This window comes from Homo sapiens, chromosome 9, assembly GCF_000001405.40.
Source record: "Homo sapiens chromosome 9, GRCh38.p14 Primary Assembly".
In the NCBI taxonomy this organism is placed as follows: Eukaryota; Metazoa; Chordata; class Mammalia; order Primates; family Hominidae; genus Homo; species Homo sapiens.
In genome coordinates, this window is record NC_000009.12 from 132,477,175 (window position 1) to 132,495,535 (window position 18,361).

The following is an 18,361-nucleotide window of genomic DNA, read 5'->3' on the forward strand; positions in this document are numbered from 1 at the left end:
TACTGAGCTCTGCCTCTGGCGATTAGCAAGGTGACCCTGGGCACATGTCACCTCTCTGACTAATCTGTAAACCCGGCACAAGAGTAGACCTGCTTCACAGGTCATAACGACGAGCCTTCTGTTCATTCATTCAGCAAAGATGCATTGAGCACCTACTACGTGCCAAGAACTACAGGCCCTGGAGACAGCGCAGTGAGCAAACCAGCCACCAAACCCCATCCCACAGAGCTTGTTTTAGGGAGAAGAGAAAGATGATGACCCAAATTCATCAGTAGAATACATAGCGAGTTGTTGATTGGTGCTACAAAGAAACACAAAGCCAGGCAGGGGTGCAGTTCCCAGTGGGAGGTCGGGTCAGGAAGGGTCAGGGGTCAGCAGGGGTCAAGCGCCTAGCCTTGGGCAAGGCATTGGGCACATAGTAATTGCTCAGCACACATGAGCTGTCTGCACTCCAGGCTGGGGGCCTCTTCCATTTCTCCCCACAGGATGCTCTTGCCTTCTCTTGCCCTGCATTGGGTTCCAGTGCTGCCTCCTGGCTCCCTTTCTTGAGCATCTGAATGCCAAGGCAGGTGTCTAGGGGGTGAGTAGGGAACTGGGCCAAACTCTGATGGAGATGTGGGAGGCCGTAGGCTCAGACGGGCAGCCTAGGAGTCCAGACCCTCTGAGTCTGGACCAGCATTCACGAGGGAGGAGCCACTGAGACAACCAATCTGGGGGCAGCGGGGCCCTGCCACAGCTGCCTGCTCTCTCAGTCATTCTACTTGCTTTTGTTTAGAAGATGAGAAAGTCCAAATGTTTGCAATTTCTTTGAAAACTAAGACAGGAGATTAAGGAGTCAGTGTGGTGGAATTTTTTTTTCCTTCTCGTCTACCCAACCTAACCAGGTGATATGGTTTGGCTCTGTGTCCCCACCCAAATCTCATGTGGAATTGTAATCCCCACATGTTGAAGATGGGGCCTGGTGGGAGGTGACTCGATCATGGGGGGTGGTTTCTGCCCCATGCGCCTCTTCCCTTTGCTGATTTTAGCCTGTAGCTTTTTACTATCATAAACCATAACCGTGAGTACAGTGGCTTTTCTGAGTTCTGTGGGTCCTTCTGGCAAATTCCTGAAGCTGAGGGTGGTGTTGGGGAGTCCTGAATGGCAGCCAAGCCTCAGCCTCTGCTTACCCTGCACGAGGCTCACAGGTGAAGACGCGGCACTGGTTCCCCCCATTTGTTCTGTCAGTGCCAGTGGCTCCGGGTGTGCATTCAACCCTCCAGACTTCAGAGGCTGTACTCGCCGAGAACAGGAGCAAGTTCCTCTAATAATCAGCCTCCCCCTTGGCTTTTATTACTTTGGGCAAAATAAAATTTGCTCCCAAGTAAGCAAAAGCTCCCTGACAGCCCTGTCGGCGTGAGGTGTCCTATTTGAAAAGATATAAGAGGCCAGGGACAAAAAACGCGAGGCTTCTCCAAGGCAGATGGGGCCCGGCGTGGGCTGGAGGTGACGAGGAGGGGACTCAGAATCTAATGAAGAGGAGAGGGCTGGGGCCGGAGATGCTCATCTCAGCCTAGCCCTTTAAAACCAAAATGATGGAGTTCATTTGCATTTAGATCTCCTTGGCTCCCTCTTTTCATCTAAAGACAAATCCTCACAAAAGGCTGCTTAATTAGACCAAATTAGATTTCCGCTCTGCAGCTTGTCATTCATTACAGAATGCTGTTCTTTTTCTATTTTGGTAATTATAGGCTGGTCTATAAACCAGTTTGTAAGCATTCACTCCAGCCATTGAATATGACTAGCATTCCTGATTTTGTGCAGAGAGGAGGAAAATTATTCAGTTGCACCAAATCTGTCTATTTTATAAGTTGGATCAAGACCATCGCTGGAGTCTTTTACAATAATGGGTATTCTCACTCCTAATTCTTTAATGATTAATTGTAGGAGCAGCACAGGGCTTGGTAATTTTCAAGACTAAAAGCTAAGTACAAATAGATTTTCGCATGTAGCAATTATGCCACATACTCAGAATCTTTACCTTAGTGATGCAACCCCATGGCATCTAAGAAGCCACCCATTAAAGCATTTACAGCACAACCCCTCATGCCCAGCTCACAGTGCTCAGCCATCTTTTGCCCTGGGTACCCTCAGGGAGCTCAGACCTTTTCCCCCATAGTTCATCCCACCATTGTTCATCCTACCATCGTGCATCCCATCCTCCCAACCACAGAACCACAGAGTTTCCAGTTTTCAGTTTCAGATACAGACACAGCTGGGTGGGTGCATGGGGGAGGGCCTTGGGGGGCTGGGCCTGGTTTGGTTGAGCCAAGGTCCTCCTTGTGGCGTTCTTGAAATACTCTTCATTCATCCAACCTGCTGCAGCGCATTGAACCTGCTGATCCAATCACCTCCCACCAGTGATGCTCCTCCGAGTGGCTGGAGGGATGTGCTGCAGAGCCATGGCCTGAGTTCCCTCCAAGGATGGCCCCGTTGGCTTTGCTCAGGCCATCCTGGTTGAAAGCGTGTGGGCAGGTGGGCCGAGCTGGCCACCAGGGACAGATGTTGCTGATGGAGTTTGGACACGTAGCATCAACTCCCTCTAATAATAGTGGCCACATTTTCCTACTGCAGATATTTAGAATGGCCTACTACGTGAGAGGCAGTGAATATTCTCATCTGACACCAAGCCTATGAATTGGGTGGTGTCCAGAGACAGGCTCAAGGGTGAGGTCCTTGGCCAAAGTGACGCGGCTATCAAGCAGGAGAGTGGCAGTGGAACCCAGGTGAGGCTGGCTCTGAGCTCTCCACTGTGCGCCTCTGCCTCCCTGAGCAGGAGAAGCAGATGATGCGGCTCTGGATGACACGGATGGAGACGCGCTCCAGATAGGAAATGGCAGAGCTGGTGGGGGGGACCCTGAAAATCAACCGGCTCAGCCCCCTCATTTTGCAGATGGGACCACTGAGGCCAGAGAAGAGGAGAGGGGGCCTCCTCGGCTGCTCTCCTGGACCGCCCTCCCCAGGAGCCACCAGACTCCCTCTTGCTCCTGGTCCCTGCCCACCTGCTAGTCATGAGGTGGGAAACTGCTCAGCTCCCCTGCCCACCCACCCTGCTCTGGGTCCAGAGACTCCAACCCTGTGGGGTCAACAGCAGGGCAGGAAAGGGCTTTCCCACTTTTTGCCCTCATAGCTCAACTCCCTAGGGAATTTGAGAACAGATTCCAGACCCTGTTCTGGAAGACCTGCCCCAGATGGCCCAGGCCTGGGAGGAGTAAGCTTCCATAGTAGTGCCTGTGTGCCCCACCCCTTGGTGCTCAGTCACGTGAGCATCCCAGAGCATGTGCTGAAGACCTACTGTGTGCCGGGCACCGGAGACGCCACAGCAAATGAGACAGGTCTGTCCCGTGCTCACCCAGCTGACCTGCCGCAGAGTGAGACGTGGCAGAAACCACCATTTGAATGATCCATTCATCTCAAAGACGTGGGTCCAGGAAGGAAAATAGGTGACATCCTGTGGCTGGGGTTTCTCACGGAGGCTACAGAGTCCGGGGGCTTCTCCAAGGTGGTGACATTTCAGCTAGGAGTTAGCGGGGCCAGGCGCCGGTGAGGAGAGGGATGTGTCAGCCTGAGCACAGACTTCATGCAGGAAGGGGCCTGAAAGTTCCAGGAGCCGAAAGAAGGCCCAGGGCAGAAAGCGGACGGTGAGCGAGAGGGCATAAGATGAGGCCAAGGCTAGGAGCAGAGGTGCCCCCATTGTGGTCCGGGGGCCCCTGTTATCAAAACAAGCCACAGACAGTCCCCGTGTATCCACCTTGGGTTGCTTATTTCTTCACAGCAGGCTGAGATCTGTTAGCTCGAAAGCACACTAGCACCAAACAAAATCTTACACATCCAGTTGCTTTAAAATATCTCCAACAAGCAGAATTTTAGCCATTTAGAGCCCACCTGCTTTGCACACCCACAAAGCCACACTCGTGTCTGCCGGCCATGGATACGACAGAGCCTGGGGACTGTAAGACCCCAAGCTACTGCTGCCCTTGGGAGCTCTCTGGGCCCAAGACTCCCTGCCGCGCTGCTAGACGCTTCAGCCCTGTCTCCCCCAGAGCGGCCTCACCCTCCTCCTTCCTGGATGGTGGCCCCTCACTGTCACCTCTGGACAGTCTCACAGACATCCCTCCTTGGGGACTTCCCCTCTCCTGAAACCCCATCCAAGTCCTGCCCACTAAAGCTTGTGTATTCCTATTTCTTTTCCCTTTGACTAGCCGCCTAATCCTCGAACTCACTCCTTACACTCCTCCCTCCCCAGCAAGATTTCATCCATCTTTGTGTGCTCAAGGTACCGAGCACAGTGGCTTGCACCCCGTCGGTGGCTGCTGCCCCGCTCCTGCTAGAGGAGGAGAAGCATTGCTGCTGAGGCCTCTGCATCATCTGCCCTAGGAAATGTCAACCCAGAACCAATCATAAAGCAACCCCAGAGGCTGCGAAGAGGAGGGGGTGGGAGGACCCTGTCCTCCAGCCTCCCAGCTTTGTGCTGAAATGAAGAGCCGCCGCTTCCTCTCCCAGCCGACCCCAGCCTTATTAACAGGCTTCGTTTTAGGGACGCCTCCTCCGCCTCAGCTATCTGCTATGCTAACAGGTCAGCTGCCATTTTGTGTTAAACTCCTTCTCATTTATTACAATACCACTTTTTATTGACATGGAAATAAAACTTACAATCAATAAGATATTATGAAATATACATCAAAACAAAAGTCACTGGAGCGGGCGTTTTCATCTGTTCTCAGGAAGGAACAAGGGTTTATGGTTGGGGGGGGGGGGGGCGGCGGAACACTGAACATTTTTCTTCCCTATTACATGATGCGATTTTCAATGAATCTATAAAGAAAATGAAAACATAAATAGAGTAACCAAACAGAATGATCCCTGCAGCTGTCAAAACTTAAAACAGTTCAGTTTTCCTTTGATTTCTGTTTTAAGTTTTGAAAAGTACATAGATCATTCTCTGCTTTTTCCTTTTCTCTCTTTCTTTCTTTCTTTTTTTTTTTCTTTTCATAGGGAGCCTTTTTCTTAAATCTGCTCACTCAGGGTCTGCTGGCTGTGACCCTTGACAGCTAAACTGACCAAATGATCAAGTGGACTCTGCATTTCTTTCGTAGGCTGCCGGCCCGGCCTCGGTGGGAACCTCTTATTCTGTTTATGACTCCTCAGCGGTGCAGAAAGTTATTCCTTCCCTTGCTGGACACCACATCAAAGGAGGCCCACAGGTGTTTCTTCCTTCTGCTAAAATAATGTCACCCTGGAGAAAAAGGGGAAAAGAGGGGCCCCTCCCGGCTTCCGCACACCTACTGCGTGCTGGGCACCCGTGGCGCTTCACCTCCATGGTCTCGTCTAAATGTTGTCATTACGCCATGGGGTGGGGACGGTTATTCCCTGTTTAATGAGTGATGGGAAACTGAGACTCCGAGAGGCCAAGTAACTTGCTCAAAGTCACACAGCAAAGAAGGATCAGAGTCCGGTTCCAATCCTGCCTGTTGACATCGAGTGGGCGCTGGCAAGGGCTGCCAAGGCAGCCTAGTTGGATTCTCATTTTTTTTTTCTTAAGAACACATGGACACAGGAAGGGGAACATCACACTCTGGGGACTGTTGTGGGGTGGGGGGAGGGGGGAGGGATAGCATTAGGAGATATACCTAAGGCTAAATGACGAGTTAATGGGTGCAGTACACCAGCATGGCACATGTATACATATGTAACTAACCTGCACATTGTGCACATGTACCCTAAAACTTAAAGTATAATAATAATTTAAAAAAAAAAAAAAGAACGCACCCTTCCAGGCTATGTGAGGGGGCTCATGCCTGTAATCCCAGCACTTTGAGAGGCTGAGGCAGGCAGATCACCTGAGGTCAGGAGTTCGAGACCAGTCTGACCAACATGGAGAAACACACTCTCTACTAAAAATAGGAAATTAGCCGGGCGTGGTGGTGCGTGCCTGTAATCCCAGCTACTCAGGAGGCTGAGGCAGGACAATCGCTTGAACCCAGGAGGCAGAGGTTGCAGTGAGCCAAGATCGCACCATTGCACTCCATCCTGGGCAACAAGAGCAAAACTCTGTCTTAAAACAAAAAAACAAACAAAACAAAACAACAACAACAACAAAAACTCACCCTTCCAAAGAGGCCTGACTTGGAGACCCCCATACATAAAGCATATATTAGAGTGGCCACCCAGCTGGCTCAGGACAAGGAGCGTCGAGCCCCTGAGCTCCTCTGACCCACGAGGGGTTGTGGGGGACCTGCAGCAGCCACCCATCTTCTCCCGTGTCCTCGGTGCAGACGAGGCTGACGCGAACTGACACCTGGGTCTCCAGACTCACAGTCCAGAGCGCTCCTCCTTCCCCCACCACAGCCTTTCAACAGTGAGGCCATGGCAAGCAAAGGGGGCCACACTGTGAAATGGGATGCATCCAGTTTCATGGTTTCAGACATGCTTCCCCAGCTCCCACCATACTGTCAGAACAGCGAGACTCAGATGGAAACGGCCTTCACTATCCTTCCCAGCCCAGGGCCCACTCCCCACCCCATGCCCACCTCAGCACAGTCTCAGAAGAGAGCACAGTCTCCTCAAGACTGAGCCACGTTTTCAAAGCACGTGTCCTGCTGTGAGCAGCAGTCACTTTGTCTGCACGTCTTTCCTCTCCTGTCCTCCCATCCTTAAGGGAGAAAGAGTTTCCTCAGTTGCTCGACAGGAACCATGGCATCTCCTTCCTGTGGAGGTATTGTCTTTTTTTTTTTTTTTTTTGAGACACATTCTCACTCTGTTGCTCAGGCTGGAGTGCAGTGGTGCAATCTCGGCTCACTGAAACCTCCACCTCCTAGGTTCAAGAGATTCTCCTGCCTCAGCCTCCTGAGTAGCTGGAATTACAAGTTTCCACCACCACACCCGGCTAATTTTTTTGTATTTTAATAGAGACAGGGATTCTCCATGTTGGCCAGGCTGGTCTCAAACTCCTGATCTCAAGTGATCTGCCCGCCTCAGCCTCCCAAAGTGTTGGGATTACAGGTGTGAGCCACTGCACCTGGCCTAATTTTTCTTTTTATATGAGATTCACATAAAATCAACCATCAGCCATTTTTAAATGTGCAGTTCAGTGGCATTGACTATATTCGCAATGTCATACAACCATCACCCCTCTCTAATTCCAAGACATTTCATCACCCCAAAAGGAAGCTCTGTACCCATGAGCAGTCTCCCTCCAGCTGCAGGCAACCACCAATCTGCTTTCTGTCTCTTCAGATTGACCTATTTGGACATTTTAAATGGGTTCATACATGTGGCCTTTTGTGCCTGTCTGGATTCTTTTCCTTAGCATAATGCTTTCAGGATCCATCCACATTGTAACATGGATCAGTGCTTCATTCCCGGTTACGGCTGAATAATATTCCATTGTGCGGATGTGCCAGGCTTGGCTTATTCATTCATCAGGACGTGGTGTGGTTTCTGTCTGTTGGCTATTGTGAATAACGCTGCTATGAACACGCAGGTACATGTGTTTGAATGCCTGTTTTCTTTTTTTTTTTAAATTTTTGTGGGTACATAGTAGCTATAAATATGAACACCTGTTTTCAATTCCTTTGGTATATCACTACAAGTGGCATTGCTGGGTCATATAGGGTAATTTCATCTTTAACTTTCTTTCTTTTTTTTTTTTTTTAGATGGAGTCTTGCTCTGTCACCCAGGCTGGAGTGCAGTGGCATGCTTTTGGGTCACTGCAACCTCTGCCTCCTGGGTTCAAGCGATTCTCCCGCCTCAACCTCCCCTGTAGCTGGGACTACAGGCATGCGCCAGCAAGCCCAGCTAATTTTTTTATTTTTAGTAGAGACAGGGTTTCACCATTTTGGCCGGGCTAGTCTCGAACTGAGAGCCACGGCACCTGGCCCTCATCTTTAACTTTTTGAGGAACCATCAAGCAGATGTGTTCATTGTATAACTAGTTCTCTATTCATACAAATGGAGACGGAGCTGCTGATAATTCAAAATAGCAGAGTCTAACAGTGGCCAGTAGCTGGTATGACTACTTTTTATTAAGAAGCTTCCAGGCCCTCTGCTGACAACTTTGCCTACATTGTGAAATGCTCTGCCACCCTCCGAGCTGGAGGCTCTCATGATACCTATTTTCTAGGTAAGAAAACTGAGACTCGGAGGTTAAGCATTATAACTTGCCCAAGGTCACGCAGAGTTGAGAAGCCAGAGTTCCAGCTCGGGTGGCTTGGCCCCCAAGCTCATGTTCTTAATCACAAAACTGTCACGTCCCAATCATGCGCCAAATGGTTTCTGTTTGGATTGCCATGTGACAGGGTAGAGGCTGGCAGCGGCGGATCTCTGCTCCTAATTATGCCAGGCTCAGACTGTTATGAAAATGAGTTTGCCTTCCTTGAGCACGCCCCAGCTGTGAGCAGCGGGAGCTGGCCGGCAGGTGGCTGGAATGAAACCCCACACAGTGGATAACCCACCAAACAGACAAGTGACACTTGACTGCAAAGTACGACGCCAAGTGATTGCACTCCATCGCGGCGGTGAGCTTCATCCCTCCGTTCCTTCAGAAAACAGCCTATTGTCCCCATAACAGTTCCCATTTATTGGGCACTTACTCCATGTCCACCAAAGTGCAGAGGTCATCTGACCACAGACCGAAGAGGGGGTATTATTTTCCCATTTTACAGACAAGGAATCGGGGCCCAGGTAGTTTTCGTAAACAGGTGACGAGCATACAAGTGTCATTCACTGAGCTGGTGTCAGTCCAGGTGCTGGGATTTGAGAACACACACCTCATATATATATATATATATATATATATATATATATATATATATATATATATATATATGTATGTATATGTATGTGTGTGTGTGTATATATATATATATATATATATATTTTTTTTTTTTTTTTTTTTGAGACGGAGTCTTGTTCTGTCGCCCAGGCTGGAGTGCGGTGGCGCAATCTCGGCTCACTGCAACCTTGGCCTCCCGGGTTCGTGCCGTTCTCCTGCCTCAGCCTCCCGAGTAGCTGGGACTATAGGCACCCGCCACCCCGCCCGGCTAATTTTTTGTATTTTTAATAGAGATGGCGTTTCACCGTGTTGGCCAGGATGGTCTCGATCTCCAGACCTCGTGATCCGCCCGCCTCGGCCTCCCAAAGTGCTGGGATTACAGGCGTGAGCCACCGCGCCCGGCCCACACACCTCCTCTTAATCAGAGGCATCATCGCTTTTAGGGACTTCAGATTTTGCCCGGGAGGAAAAGTTTCTGGGAGTTCCTTCCCCAAGACGATGAGCTGCTTCCTGCGAGTGACCTGGCTCTGTTCGTAATCTCAGATGATACCTAGCTAGTTTTTATTGCTCTTTAAAAAAATATATCCAATCAAGGTATTAGTTCCTTCCAACCTCTCACGTTCGCCTTTTGTCAAAACGCTGCGCGTTTCCCCCTCATTCCCCTAAACATGCTGTTGAGTTACCGGCCCCCAGAGGCCGGGGACTCCGAGCGGATGCATCCCCGCACCTCGCTGCTCGCTGCCTTCTCCGAGTGTAATCAAACATCAAGCTAAGTAGCAAATAAATCTCTCGATCTCATAAGCTGCACAGCGAGATCATGTAAATGCAAATGAAGGACCTGATTTCAAGCTGTCGAGGGGGAGGGGAGGGAACGGTGGGGCCCTGTCACCGTGACCGCCTCACACGGCAAGGGCCATACATCAGCCGCCAGAACAGAGCAGGCAGCCGGAAGGGAGGCCGGGCTGCCCCGGGGAGCGGGGACCAGGCAGGCGGCAGAGCGCAGGCAGCCCCGGGCCGTGGGAACCAGACAGGGCTGGACTGGGTGGCGGGGCAGGCCTGAGGACGCCTGGAGGGGCTCCCCACGGTCCGCGGCTCCCTTTGGACCCGAGCTGGGAGCTGCTATAGCAGTCTTAACAATAAGACAGCAGTAATAGAAGCCATCGGTTACTGAGCAACCTCCTGGGCCAGGTACCATGAAACACTCTACATACAGCGTCGGGAGGTTTTGCAGGGGAGGAAAGAGACCAGATGAGGTGAGGGACTTACCCAAGGTCACACGGGAAGTGGCAGAGCTGGGAGTCCGACTCAGCTCTGAGTGAATTAGTATGCCAGCTACCCAATTCTCCTCCATGACCCCTCGCCCCCCAGCCACCAGCCGTCATCTTAGTCCCCATGATAAACCAGAGCAGAGTTGCAATGACACAGAAGAGACTTTTTCATAGATAAAATAGAAACATATAACTTAACTCTATTGTGTGGCTTTTTAAATTATAAAAGTAAAACCTCAATATCGAAAAAAGGGCCCCCATCTATAACCACACATCCTCACACATCACAGTTATGGGGCTGGGTTTCCTTCCAGTATCTTTTTCAATGCATTTTTTTTTTAACGTGGTTGTAACAGTAGTCCATGTAGAATTTTGAATCCGGCTGTGGTTTTTTTTTTTTTTTTCACTTGACATTACTTTATACGCCTTTGATCACACATGGATGTGGTCTTCTCATGCGTGGCTTTTTCGTATCATTATGCAGTGTTCAACTGACACTCACACAATGCACAGGGTTCAAAGCATTGGGCTTCTAAGAGGATGCCTGAGCCCTTTGATGCATAATGCACCTTATTTTACATGATTGTTTATCTGAGGTTCTCATTATGGAAATAAATAAATATCCTCTATGCTAATAATGATCACAATTTGCATTTATATTGTGCTTTTCATTCGAGGATCTTAAGTTGTTTTACAATAATGAACTACCCCCCCATGAGCAAAATGGTATGTGTGTGCCTATGTATGCATGGGTCTAGCTATATACAGATATTTATTTAATCACTACCAGGCAACAGGATTTCATATAACTGCGCTTTAACAAAATGCAGGAGAGTGAGTGGAGGCTTTTCAACTGTCAAACAAACATTAGTTTAGACGCAGGGCTGGAGGGTTAATGAGCTACACTATATGTGGTTGCCAGGAAGTGGGGAGTGATTGATTCCTTTGAGGGGCTAGCTCGTGATGGAATGAACGTCTTTGGTGGGTCTGACACTCAGGCATCGAGCTCCCTGACAGAAAACCTGCCACTTTGGAAGTGACCACTGGCCCGTTTGTCTGGAATAAGATCCAGTTCAAGGCTATCTCAGCAACAAAGCCAGCTGGCTTCCCCACTTTTCACCTCTTCACTTCTCATTTCTTATGTCTGGATTTTTAAGATATCTCGTGCAAAATCCACAAGGTCTTTTAAGAGGTACAGCTGTTTTGCAATAAGAAATGAGGGCTAGTTAAGGGGAAAAAAAAGTAGATTGGGTGGGAAATGATTAGACTTGAGTTGCAAGGCGGGTCACTCGTTTTGAAGAAGTTGTGCCATGTAAATGGGCTTTGGTGAAGCTCCAGGTCTAGAGACCTTCGTTCCTGGGTCCCAGGTAGCTTCGGATCAAAGCAACAGCCTGTGGGAAATGCTACCTGCACCTGCCTCTAGCTAGCCCCAGTAGTTCTCATGGCGACAGGCTGCTCCCAGGGGGCTTCCGGGCGCTGGGGCTGCCAGCCCGGCTTGGTTCCCAGCATGGGTTTCCAGGGCCTGGCCCTTCATGATGGGGAGTGGAGGAAGCTGATATTGCAGGAGGAGCCCGGAGAATCCCAGGACCCCCTGGGACGGGGAGAGAGATGGTTTTAATTAGAGCTGAGAGATGGGAAATAAGGCAGAGAGGGATGACATCTTAATGAGGTTTAATGAAGCTGTCTGCTGATGGGGACAGCTGTCACCCAGAGCTGTATTCCAGCCAAGCCACTTTGTGATGGAGGAAACTCGGAAAAAGGCGGTTTGAAGGCAGCTGAGGAGGGAGGGGTGGTCAGACTCGGAGCTGGGATTTTTCTCCGTTTGCCTCTTAATTCCAACACCTCATTGACAAGGGATTCCAGCTAGTGGGCCACATTAAAATAGCCTCCAACACTTCAGAATTCCCTGATGTGCAACACTAAGGAGTGCCTCTTAAAAGACCTTGTGGATTTTGCATGAGATGTCCTAAAAATTCAGACATAAGAAATGAGAAGCGCAAGGATTTTGAGGGCTGAAAGGGGTCTCTTCTCTTTTTGAGCCTCGACTCCTTGCTAGTTCAGTGGGGATACCATGGCCTCCCTTGCAGAGTTGTTGTGAGTATTGGGGCGTGGCTGGGAGTTAAGCTCAGAGGTGTGATGTCCAGGAGAGGTGAGTTTAACCCCAGCTTTTCTATTGACTACCTGGGTGGTGTTGGACAAGTGTGAACCTCTTTAAGCTACTTGACAGTGAAGTTGGCAGAGTTCAGGGAGAAGCAAAAACACTCTCAGCACATGCTCAGCACATAGTAGGCGCTCAATAAAGAGGGCACAGGACATCCTGTGTGCCCTGCACGGAGGAGGTGCAACACAAATGTTGATCCTGTTCCTTGTTTCTTTCTTTGCTGCATGGTGGTTCTAAGGGATCCCTGTGCAGGGAGGGTGATCTCAGCCTCCACATGGCCCAATAGCCAGGCCACGCCAGCTGTCCCAGGACCTTTGCACATTCCAGTTTGCGACCTGTCTAGGATACCCCTTTTGTCTCTGCAACTGGCCACCTCTCATCCTGGCCTGGGCTGGTGGGGCAGGCTGATGGGGCACCGGGTGGCTGATCAGAGCTGAGATTTGGGACCGAGTCTCGTCAGTTTCACGGATGTCAGAGTGAGGTTACCAAACGTCCTAGTGTGTTTTTGCTGCTGTAACAGAATACCTGAGATGGGGCAATATAGAAAGAATAGAAATTTGTTTCTCAGCGTTCTAGGGGCTGGGAGTTCCAGATCAATGCGCCGGTGGTTTCTGTGTCTGGTGAGAGCCTAGTCTTTGCTTCCAAGATGGTGCCTTGGTGCTGTATCCCCCAGGGTGGGGACGAATGCCGTATCCTCGCATGACAGACGGACAGAAGGGGATAAAAAGGGCGAACTCCCTCCATCAAGGCCTTTTATAAGGGCACCTATTCCCCCATGAGTGCAGAGCCCTCATGACTCAACCACCCCCTAAAGGCCACACCCCTGAATACTGTTGCATTGGGATTAAGTTTCAGCATGACTTTGGAGGCGATAAAAACATTCAGACCATAGCACCATGGAAAAGCAGGTGACCGTCAAGCCTCAGGTGGCCCCTGTGTTTTGATGGCAGCTGAACTCAGATGTCTGTCACAACCTGCTTGCCTGTGTCTGAAAGTTCGGGGTCAGGAGCTCGTTTGAGTGCCTCTCCCTGTAGGTTCTTAACAGGCTTCACACAGCCCCTCTGAGGTGCCCAGAGACCCGCCACCCCTCTGTCAGGCAGCTTTTCTCTGTAGGCTTCTAGAAGGCCCCACTGGACAAGCTGGGGAGGGAGGCCAAGGGTCAGCGCTGGGCACTCCCACCTCTGGCTCCAGGCCGCTCCCTGCTCTAAGTCCCCTTGGCCCTCTTACCCTCCCTGGCTACTCCTGGAACCTTCTTCAGATCAGTTCTTCCCAAAATGCCAATTCAAGATCTGTATGTGTCTTTCTTTTCCTGATTACCCTTCCCCCAACGCAGTCAAGACAGCTGTCCTGGGTCCCAGTCACTTTAGTCCTGAACAGCAGCTCCTCCGTCATTTTGTTCAACATTGTTATAATGTTGATGAGAAAAGAAATCAATGTCCGGCCGGGGCCACTGTCTGCATGGCGTCTGCGTGTTCTCCCCGTGTCTGTGTGGGTTTTTCTCCAGGCACTCTGGTTTCCTTCCACATCCCAGAGATGTGCACATTAGGTGAACTGGTGTGTCTAATGGTCCCAGTGTGAGTGAGCATGGGTGTGTGTGTGGGTGCGCCCTGCGAGGGTGTGTGTTGGTGCTAACCTGTCCAGGGTCGGTGCCTGCCTGGTGCCCTGAGCTGCTGGGACAGGTTCCCGCCACTCACAACTCTGAACTGAAATAAGTGGATTGGAAAAATGAATGAACGAATGAGTACAAAGTATTAAAAATAAAAATCTGTGGCCGGGCATGGTGGCCCACTCCTGTAATCCCAGCATTTTGGGAGGCCGAAGCGGGCAGATCACTTGAGGTCAGGAGTTCCAAACCAGCCTGAGCAACATGGAAAAACCCCATCTCTACCAAAAATACAAAATTAGCTGGGTGTGGTGGTGCACGCCTGTATTCCCAGCTACTCAGGAGGCTGAGGCAAGAGAATTGCTTGAACCCGGGAGGTGGAGGTTGCAGTGAGCCGAGATTGTGCCATTGCACTCCAGCCTGGGCAACAAGAGCGAAACTCCATCTCAAAATCTGTAAAGTTCCTTGTGTGATCATTATACAAACGCACGACTGTGGACAAAGTGTAGAAAAGTGCTCAGCAAGCCCTTCGGATTGATGATGTTTGTTTTTACCTGCACAGTCGTAGGAGGGGCTCTTGGCAATTTTGGCTTTGCAAACATTTATTCCTTGATTTAACCCATTACCACTCTGACTGCTGTCACTCATGGATTCCCCCCAAATTGGGTAAATAATGATCTTATTTGTTTTTATTAATCTTTCTGAAATGTATGGATAACTCACATTTACATCAATATTTAATATTAGAATTATTTTGGTGTTTATTGAGAAGTTTGGTGATGTTTTTGTGACCAGACTGTGCCGTAGGAACTGAATTCTTGTTATCTATTAGCTTATGGGAAAATTGGTTTTCTTATATGTTGTTTTGCTTAAAGTTGCAATTTCCAAAAACATATTGATGATGTTGAGTGAGGACTTACTGTTATGTTTTCTGAAGTGATAGCTCTTCCCATAAATCTCAGTCTATATATTGAACAGTAGACTTTTGCCAGGCACAGTGGCTCATTCCCATAATCTCAGCACTTTGGGAGGCCAAGGCGGGAGGATTGCTTGAGGCCAGGAGTTTGAGACTTGCCTGGGCAACATAGTGAGACCCCATCTCTACAAATAATTTAAACATTATCTGGGAGTGGTGATGCGGGCCTGTAGTTCTAGACACTCTGGAGGCTGAGGTGGGAGGATCACTTGAGCCTGGAATGTCGAGGCTGTAGCAAGCTGTGATCGTGCCCCTGCACTCCAGCCTAGGCAATGGAGCAAGACCCTGTCTCAAAAAAGAACCCCCCCCAAAACAAAAAACAAAACAACAACAACAAAAACAGCAGACTTTACCTGGGCTTCTCCTGTGTATAAGGCTCTGTGCTGTGCACCGTTGTGTGGGGCGGAGAAGGCCAGGAAGTCAAGGCTCACCTGTTCCATATGAGCCAAACCCCACCTGCAGAGATGAGGTCTGTGCACATGAAAATACAATCCAGCCCAGGCCATCTATGCTAAATGCCAGCTCATGAAGTAGGAGGCAGCAAAGACTGTGGAGTCAGATGTGGGTTCAGACCCACCTTGGCCACTCAGCCATGCGGCTTTGGGCAATCAGGACCCTCCGGCTGTCCATGCCTTCTTTTCCATACCTGTGAAATCAGCACAGTGGTTACACCACGTTACAGGATTGTTTTATGAATCGGCAGTAACAGGGGAGCCGGGCATGTGGATGTCAGGATTATAGATGTTTGATGGGCACATGGGCAGGTGGGTGTCCAGTTAGCCTGTCTTGTGGGGCAGATGAACTGGTAATGAGTGGATGTGCTGCTCCTCTTGGGCATTTGCACGTGAACAAAGGGACTCTGAGACACACCGTACTTGCACCTAAAGGGCTGGATTGTGGACAGTGGGATTTCAGGCCTTGGAGGTATCCGGGGCCAGGTGGAATACAGGGGAAGGTTGCCGAGGACTCCCACGGCTCCAGCCTGGGCGGACACAGCCATGCTCATTTGATCATGCTTTGCTTTATTGCGCTTTGCATGTAGGAGTCCTCACAAAGCCCCGTGGGTGGCCTCCGGCTGTGCCCAAGTGAGGCCCAGGAACCCCTGGGGTTTCCTACCCATGACCCTCTCTGACACTGTGATGTAGTGTAGCCTGCCCAAGAAGAAAGGAAGTCCAGGTGCCAGGGCAGAAGATTGAGGGGATGATGGGGCTTTTCTGAGTGTCCAAATCTGCTTCTTGGCTGAATTCCTGGGAAGTTCCACTTCATCCTTCCAGGCGATGCTATGGTCTGGAAAAGTCCTCGGAAATGAGAAAGCCACTGCTATGGGCATTCTTGGGGATTTCAGGATGAGACTCTCTAGTCTAAGAAACATAGACCAGAGAATGCATTTGGAAAAAAAATAGTCATTGTGTTGTTGTTGCTGTGGTTTATCTGGTGCCGGTGTTCATGCAGTTCTCATGTGAAGCTGGGTCTCCGCTGTGGACAGAGAGCACATTGCTCCATCAGCAGAGAGTTGGGGGAAAGGGCTGGCAGACACAGTCATGGATGAATGGCTCCTGGGGGAGGGCAGCAGGCTGCAGGTATGGTGTGAAGGGTACACGTTGGGTCAACAACATCATGACACCTAAAGCCCCCGGTGCTATCTTCGGTCACTGCCCCCACCCAGGGGTCCTGCACTCCTGACTTCTAAACCCAGAGACGAGTTCTGCTGGTGTCTGGCTGCATCCGCATGGAGGAGCGCACCCCTTGTGTGTCTGGCTTCTTTCACTCCACGCTTTGTGTCAGGACCACACATGTGGTTGCCCACAGTAACGTTCTTTCATTCTCAGAGTTTCTTTTTTTCTTTCCTTTCTTTTCTTTTCTTTTCTCTTTTCTTTTCTTTCCTTTTCTTTTCTTTTCTTTCCTTCCTTCCTTCCTTTCTCTCTCTTTCTTTTTTTATAGGGTTTCGCTCTGTCACCTGGGCTGGAGTACAGTGGTTCAATCATGGCTCACTGCAGCCTCCACCTCCCGGGTTCAAGTGGTTCTCCCACCTCAGCCTCCCAAGTAGCTGGAACCACAGGCACACGCCACCATACCCAGCTAATTTTTACATTTTTTGTAGAGATGGGGTTTTGCTATATTGCCCAGGATGGTCTCAAATTCCTGGGCTCAAATTGTCTGCTTGTCTTGGCCTCCCAAAGGGCCGGGATTACAGGCGTGAGCCACCACACCTGGCTCATTCTAAGTTTCTTAATCTCTGTGGGCACTGTTGGCATCAAGGGACAGATAGCTCCTTGATGTAGTGGGGTTGTCTGGTGCATTGTAGGATGCCTGGCAGCATTCCTGGCCTTTACCCACTAAATGGAGGATAGCACCCTCTCCCAAACCATGACGACCAAAAATATGTCCAGACATGGCCAGATGTCCTCTAGGGCACATTATCACCCCTGACTGAGGACCACTACTGTAGGGCATTCTGTGTTATGAATATGTCACAAATTTTTTATCCACCTACGATGGCCACTTGGGTTGTTTCTAGCAGTTGGCTATCATGAATTGAGCTGCTATGTGCATCCTTAGACATGTTCTTGGGTGGATGTACACATTCATTTCTGCTGGATGTCCAGGATGGAATTGTTGGGTTATCGGACAGGCATATATTTAGCTTCAAGAGATAGTGCCAAACAGCACTATCCACGGTGGTTGTAGCAGTTTACACTTTCACCAAGTGCATGAGTATACCAGTTGCCCCACATCCTTACCAGTAACAGTGAATTTTTTCTTTGCATTTCCCAGAGGTTGACACCTTGACATATGTATGGCTCTTGGCCACTGGGACATCCTCTTAAATAAGTTCCTATTCAAGTATTTTGCTCATTTTTTTCTGTAGGACTATCTGCCTCTTTCTTATTGATTTGTAGTAACTCTTTATATATTATGGATAAGACTACTTTATTATGGATATCTTCTCTCACGCTTTAAACTCACAGACTTTTAGAACCAAGGGCACTCTGCTTCCCACATCAAATACCCTGGTGAACATGACTGCCATTGCTTAACTGTACTTTTTGCAAGACAGTGAATTTCATAAGAGCAGGGCTGTGTGTCTGATCTGTTCACCCTAGAACTTCCAGCACAGAGGGCTTAGCGCTGAGTGGGTACAAAATAAATATTTGTGGAATGAAAGTATGAGCAAACCTCCCATTGGGATTTTTTTTTTTTGTAGTCTAAAGCTTCCACATGTTTCAGCAGTTATTGATTCCCAGGCAACCACACTAAAAAGCAGAGATTGAGGCACACACCTGCTCCTTGCTCCCTGCCTGAGGGTGGCAGCCAGCTCCTGAGTCTGTCTGTCATTCCCCTGCCAGCTGAAACTCTGCCCACCTGCACCTGCCTTGAGGGAGGCAGAGTCTCTCCCAGAGAAGTCACATTTTAATTAACTTCCCCGGCAGTCACTGGAGAGGCCGGATCATTTTCATAAACAAATGAGAGGCCAGAGCTTTGTCTGTAACTCAGAGAGCATAGTATGGAAGGAATTCAAAACAAGCCACCCTGCAGGGT

At 49.6% G+C, this 18,361-nt stretch overlaps 1 protein-coding gene across 5 annotated transcripts in view, besides 3 other annotated features; it reads left to right on the forward strand.

Moving 5' to 3' along the window:
• The window catches only part of CFAP77 (cilia and flagella associated protein 77), a 163,109-nt gene that overhangs the window by 66,964 nt on the left and 77,784 nt on the right, over window positions 1-18,361 (forward strand). The window contains exon 2 of one of the 5 annotated variants that reach the window (NM_207417.3): window positions 5,136-5,243. The exons of the other annotated variants lie outside the window; for them this stretch is intronic. Within the exon in view, the coding sequence (NP_997300.1) occupies window positions 5,136-5,243 (108 nt within the window). The remainder of the gene's footprint in view (window positions 1-5,135; window positions 5,244-18,361) is intronic. 5 annotated transcript variants of the gene reach the window in all.
• Window positions 3,906-4,407: an enhancer, noted in NCBI's record as "H3K4me1 hESC enhancer chr9:135356467-135356968 (GRCh37/hg19 assembly coordinates)". NCBI's record gives its function as "activates a minimal SCP1, AML or CMV promoter by ChIP-STARR-seq in naive H9 embryonic stem cells {active_cell/tissue: H9 hESC(naive)}" and the evidence as "EXISTENCE:reporter gene assay evidence [ECO:0000049][PMID:30033119]".
• Window positions 9,798-10,047: a silencer, noted in NCBI's record as "silent region_20432". NCBI's record gives its function as "represses an Ori minimal core promoter by ATAC-STARR-seq in GM12878 lymphoblastoid cells {active_cell/tissue: GM12878}" and the evidence as "EXISTENCE:reporter gene assay evidence [ECO:0000049][PMID:35858748]".
• Window positions 10,058-10,147: a silencer, noted in NCBI's record as "silent region_20433". NCBI's record gives its function as "represses an Ori minimal core promoter by ATAC-STARR-seq in GM12878 lymphoblastoid cells {active_cell/tissue: GM12878}" and the evidence as "EXISTENCE:reporter gene assay evidence [ECO:0000049][PMID:35858748]".